General features: G+C 42.1%; 2 annotated features.

Annotated features, from left to right (window-relative positions):
* Positions 2,342-2,935: an enhancer, noted in NCBI's record as "NANOG-H3K27ac-H3K4me1 hESC enhancer chr4:92899097-92899690 (GRCh37/hg19 assembly coordinates)". NCBI's record gives its function as "activates a minimal SCP1, AML or CMV promoter by ChIP-STARR-seq in primed H9 embryonic stem cells {active_cell/tissue: H9 hESC(primed)}" and the evidence as "EXISTENCE:reporter gene assay evidence [ECO:0000049][PMID:30033119]".
* Positions 2,936-3,529: an enhancer, noted in NCBI's record as "NANOG-H3K27ac-H3K4me1 hESC enhancer chr4:92899691-92900284 (GRCh37/hg19 assembly coordinates)". NCBI's record gives its function as "activates a minimal SCP1, AML or CMV promoter by ChIP-STARR-seq in primed H9 embryonic stem cells {active_cell/tissue: H9 hESC(primed)}" and the evidence as "EXISTENCE:reporter gene assay evidence [ECO:0000049][PMID:30033119]".

Below are 6,302 nucleotides of genomic sequence, written 5' to 3' on the forward strand. Positions count from 1 at the left end.
CCCAGGGTAGGTTTAGAAATGTCATTTAGAAGCAAAAGTCTGGAATTAGAGGCTTCAGAAATCTGCTTGGTGCTTTGTTTTACTGTGGCTGAGTTGGTACCCAAGTTGCAAGACAAAGTCCTTTGTACTCATCCCTCTCCTTTCCCCAAGTGAAAAGAGTCTTTCCCCAAGCTGCACTGCCTGGAGTTGGGGTAGGGGTGACATAGGCACTCTCATGGCCAGCTGCAGAGCTGTTGTTGCACTGGGTTGCACTCTAAGTCCTCTGCAACCAAGTTCAGTGCAGCACCAGGGCTTGCCCAAGGACTATAGTCCCTGCGGCCTGTCTCTCACTCAAATTTATTTAGGGTTCTCTGGCCATTTCAGTCTGTTGATACTGAAGCAAACCAAGACTCATGTTCCTTCCACTGAGGCAAAGTATTTCCCTCTGGCTTAGGGCTGTCTAAATTTTCCCTCCATGGGTGCCAGCAGAATTCTGCCTTGTGTTGTATTTGACTGTGAGAGGGCAGAACTGAATTCCAATGTAAAGTCTCAAATGCACTTCACTGTCCCTCCTCCAAGCATGCAAACTGTCCTCTTGCTGCACTGCCTGGGTTTGTAGGAGTGGTGTAGACAATGCAAGGCTGTCTTCCCCACCTCCTTTAAAGTGACTTTCCTGGCTATTATTTTAAAACCAGTTACTGTGACCACTCATCTGATTTTTTTGGTTCTTATGAAGATGTTTTCTTGCATGAATAGTTGTTCAATCTGGTGATTCTGCAGGAACACTATTGCTGAAGTGTTCCATTTGGCCTCCTTTCTCCTCTCTCCTCAGTCCATATACACTTTAAATCAATGCCTATTTTATGGTGCTCTGTCATTAATGAGTAAAGGACAGGAATTGAAAAATGTAGAGGTAAAAACAGAGATGATACTTGATATTGCTGTGTCCTCACCCAAATCTCATCTTGAATTATAGCTCCCATAAACCCCACATGTTGTGGGAGGGAACCAGTGGGAGATAATTGAATAATGGGGTGGGTTTTCCCATGCCGACCTCATGATAGTGATTAATTCTCATAAAATCTGATGGTTTTAAAGGGCAGTTCCCCTGCACACACTCTCTTGCCTGACACCATGTAAGATGTGTCTTTGCTTCTCCTTCAACTTCCTCCATGATTGTGAGGCCTCCCTAGCCATGTGGAACTGAGTCCATAAAACCTCATTTTCTTTATAAATTATCCAGTCTCAGGCATTTCTTCATGGCAGTATGAAAATGGACAAATACAGTACTCCTTACTGTCATTCCTAGTAACACACTTAGGAAATATGTGTTTATTGTCTCAACAACTTCAGGTTTTGAGTGTTTAGATGTCTTCGTTTCCTAAAAGAAGAATGCTTCCACAAGAAGACACAGTTAGTGTCCCACTAAACTTAAAATTACAGCTACAAACTAGATAATTTGGGCTCTGTGTGACAGTTGACCAGCCGGTAGAGAAAAAGATTACCTTGTTGGCAAGTATAATTGATCTTGATCATTATGAAGAAATAGGGCTCTTATGCTACATAATGGGGACAAGGAGGAATGTTCCTTGTCAATTTGGCATTTCAATTGTATACTAGGTGTTTTGTATTTTTTCCCACCCCCAGTTTTAAATGAAAATGGGTGAGTACAGAAAGCACATATTTCTACAGTGGTGTAAGATCACAGATCCTTTACAGATGAGAGTTTGAACCACACACCAGGCAAACCATCTAAACATACAGAAGCATTAGCCAAGTTGGAGGAGAGATTTTTGAAAAGAAAATGAAGGAGGGAGATAAGTGTCAGTTACAATCCCCCATAACACAAGTTTACCTATGTATCAATCCTATACGTGTATGTACCTCTGAAATTAAAATACAAGTTTAAAAAATCATTTTTAAGGATTTAAAAAAAGTGTCAATTATAGCCATGGTACCAACTATAGTTGGTTGACCTTTAACTTTTCAAGCCAAAAAGACTATCTTTATACATCAAATAGTGCTACCCTCTGGAGCAAAGGGCAAGCATGCTTACTATCCATTATACAATATATGTGTTCCCTAAGCTCAGTGATTCTCTCCTGAAAAGCATGACTTCTTTAGTAATTACCTTCATGACACTTAGGAGAAGCAGGGGCAAATGTTGAGAACATGGCTACTGCTATCATTATGAGTAATAAAACATCCTTTTTCTGTAACCCAGGAGTCTTGTGTTTTCTATCTGTTTCAATGAAACTGTGAGCTAATTTGTTAGATTGCAAGTTGAGTAAAATCTCGGATCTTTCATGGTTATTGACAATCCAAAATTTGTTTCTTTAGAACTTTAATATACTTAACAAACCCAGGCTAAAATAATTTTAAAAAGACCCAAAAACACAAATTATAAATATCAGTATGTAAATGGCAGATTCAACATACATTGAAAAAAAGAAATTAGGTGCCAAAACTTAAATGAAAATGAACCCATTCTTGAGAAGGGTGACTTATACAAGCTTACTTGAGAAGAAGTAATATATTCAGAAAATAAAGAAATTGAGTACATCATTTTAAAAGTCCCAGAAGGCTTCACCTGTAATTACTTCAAATGTTTAAGAATAAATAATACTCGAGGGAGGAGCCAAGATGGCCGAATAGGAACAGCTCCGGTCTACAGCTCCCAGCGTGAGCGACACAGAAGACGGGTGATTACTGCATTTCCATCTGAGGTACCAGGTTCATCTCACTAGGGAGTGCCAGACAGTGGGCGCAGGCCAGTGTGTGTGCGCACCGTGCGCGAGCCGAAGCAGGGCGAGGCATTGCCTCACCTGGGAAGTGCAAGGGGTCAGGGAGTTCCCTTTCCGAGTCAAAGAAAGGGGTGACGGACGCACCTGGAAAATCGGGTCACTCCCACCCGAATATTGCGCTTTTCAGACCGGCTTAAGAAACGGCGCACCACGAGACTATATCCCACACCTGGCTCAGAGGGTCCTACGCCCACGGAATCTCGCTGATTGCTAGCACAGCAGTCTGAGATCAAACTGCAAGGTGGCAACGAGGCTGGGGGAGGGGCGCCCGCCATTGCCCAGGCTTGCTTAGGTAAACAAAGCAGCCGGGAAGCTCGAACTGGGTGGAGCCCACCACAGCTCAAGGAGGCCTGCCTGCCTCTGTAGGCTCCACCTCTGGGGGCAGGGCACAGACAAACAAAAAGACAGCAGTAACCTCTGCAGACTTAAGTGTCCCTGTCTGACAGCTTTGAAGAGAGCAGTGGTTCTCCCAGCACACAGCTGGAGATCTGAGAACGGGCAGACTGCCTCCTCAAGTGGGTCCCTGACCCCTGACCCCCGAGCAGCCTAACTGGGAGGCACCCCCCAGCAGGGGCACCCTGACACCTCACATGGCAGGGTATTCCAACAGACCTGCAGCTGAGGGTCCTGTCTGTTAGAAGGAAAACTAACAACCAGAAAGGACATCTACACTGAAAACCCATCTGTACATCACCATCATCAAAGACCAAAAGTAGATAAACCCACAAAGATGGGGAAAAAACAGAACAGAAAAACTGGAAACTCTAAAACGCAGAGCGCCTCTCCTCCTCCAAAGGAACGCAGTTCCTCACCAGCAACAGAACAAAGCTGGATGGAGAATGATTTTGACGAGCTGAGAGAAGAAGGCTTCAGACGATCAAATTACTCTGAGCTACGGGAGGACATTCAAACCAAAGGCAAAGAAGTTGAAAACTTTGAAAAAAATTTAGAAGAATGTATAACTAGAATAACCAATACAGAGAAGTGCTTAAAGGAGCTGATGGAGCTGAAAACCAAGGCTCGAGAACTACGTGAAGAATGCAGAAGCCTCAGGAGCCGATGCGATCAACTGGAAGAAAGGGTATCAGCAATGGAAGATGAAATGAATGAAATGAAGCGAGAAGGGAAGTTTAGAGAAAAAAGAATAAAAAGAAATGAGCAAAGCCTCCAAGAAATATGGGACTATGTGAAAAGACCAAATCTACGTCTGATTGGTGTACCTGAAAGTGACTGGGAGAATGGAACCAAGTTGGAAAACACTCTGCAGGATATTATCCAGGAGAACTTCCCCAATCTAGCAAGGCAGGCCAACGTTCAGATTCAGGAAATACAGAGAACGCCACAAAGATACTCCTCGAGAAGAGCAACTCCAAGACACATAATTGTCAGATTCACCAAAGTTGAAATGAAGGAAAAAATGATAAGGGCAGCCAGAGAGAAAGGTCGGGTTACCCTCAAAGGGAAGCCCATCAGACTAACAGCGGATCTCTCGGCAGAAACCCTACAAGCCAGAAGAGAGTGGGGGCCAATATTCAACATTCTTAAAGAAAAGAATTTTCAACCCAGAATTTCATATCCAGCCAAACTAAGCATCATAAGTGAAGGAGAAATAAAATACTTTATAGACAAGCAAATGCTGAGAGATTTTGTCACCACCAGGCCTGCCCTAAAAGAGCTCCTGAAGGAAGCGCTAAACATGGAAAGGAACAACCGGTACCAGCCGCTGCAAAATCATGCCAAAATGTAAAGACCATCGAGACTAGAAAGAAACTGCATCAACTAATGAGCAAAATCACCAGCTAACATCATAATGACAGGATCAAATTCACACATAACAATATTAACTTTAAATATAAATGGACTAAATTCTGCAATTAAAAGACACAGACTGGCAAGTTGGATAAAGAGTCAAGACCCATCAGTGTGCTGTATTCAGGAAACCCATCTCACGTGCAGAGACACACATAGGCTCAAAATAAAAGGATGGAGGACGATCTACCAAGCCAATGGAAAACAAAAAAAGGCAGGGGTTGCAATCCTAGTCTCTGATAAAACAGACTTTAAACCAACAAAGATCAAAAGAGACAAAGAAGGCCATTACATAATGGTAAAGGGATCAATTCAACAAGAGGAGCTAACTATCCTAAATATTTATGCACCCAATACAGGAGCACCCAGATTCATAAAGCAAGTCCTCACTGACCTACAAAGAGACTTAGACTCCCACACATTAATAATGGGAGACTTTAACACCCCACTGTCAACATTAGACAGATCAACGAGACAGAAAGTCAACAAGGATACCCAGGAATTGAACTCAGCTCTGCACCAAGCAGACCTAATAGACATCTACAGAACTCTCCACCCCAAATCAACAGAATATACATTTTTTTCAGCACCACACCACACCTATTCCAAAATTGACCACATAGTTGGAAGTAAAGCTCTCCTCAGCAAATGTAAAAGAACAGAAATTATAACAAACTATCTCTCAGACCACAGTGCAATCAAACTAGAACTCAGGATTAAAAATCTCACTCAAAGCCGCTCAACTACATGGAAACTGAACAACCTGCTCCTGAATGACTACTGGGTACATAACGAAATGAAGGCAGAAATAAAGATGTTCTTTGAAACCAACGAGAACAAAGACACCACATACCAGAATCTCCGGGACGCATTCAAAGCAGTGTGTAGAGGGAAATTTATAGCACTAAATGCCTACAAGAGAAAGCAGGAAAGATCCAAAATTGACACCCTAACATCACAATTAAAAGAACTAGAAAAGCAAGAGCAAACACATTCAAAAGCTAGCAGAAGGCAAGAAACAACTAAAATCAGAGCAGAACTGAAGGAAATAGAGACACAAAAAACCCTTCAAAAAATCAATGAATCCAGGAGCTGGTTTTTTGAAAGGATCAACAAAATTGATAGACCGCTAGCAAGACTAATAAAGAAAAAAAGAGAGAAGAATCAAATAGACACAATAAAAAATGATAAAGGGGATATCACCACCGATCCCACAGAAATACAAACTACCATCAGAGAATACTACAAACACCTCTACGCAAATAAACTAGAAAATCTAGAAGAAATGGATACATTCCTCGACACATACACTCTCCCAAGACTAAACCAGGAAGAAGTTGAATCTCTGAATAGACCAATAACAGGCTCTGAAATTGTGGCAATAATCAATAGTTTACCAACCAAAAAGAGTCCAGGACCAGATGGATTCACAGCCGAATTCTACCAGAGGTACAAGGAGGAACTGGTACCATTCCTTCTGAAACTATTCCAATCAATAGAAAAAGAGGGAATCCTCCCTAACTCATTTTATGAGGCCAGCATCATTCTGATACCAAAGCCGGGCAGAGACACAACCAAAAAAGAGAAATTTAGACCAATATCCTTGATGAACATTGATGCAAAAATCCTCAATAAAATACTGGCAAACTGAATCCAGCAGCACATCAAAAAGCTTATCCACCATGATCAAGTGGGCTTCATCCCTGGGAT

This window comes from Homo sapiens, chromosome 4 (assembly GCF_000001405.40).
Source record: "Homo sapiens chromosome 4, GRCh38.p14 Primary Assembly".
NCBI classification, from domain to species: Eukaryota; Metazoa; Chordata; class Mammalia; order Primates; family Hominidae; genus Homo; species Homo sapiens.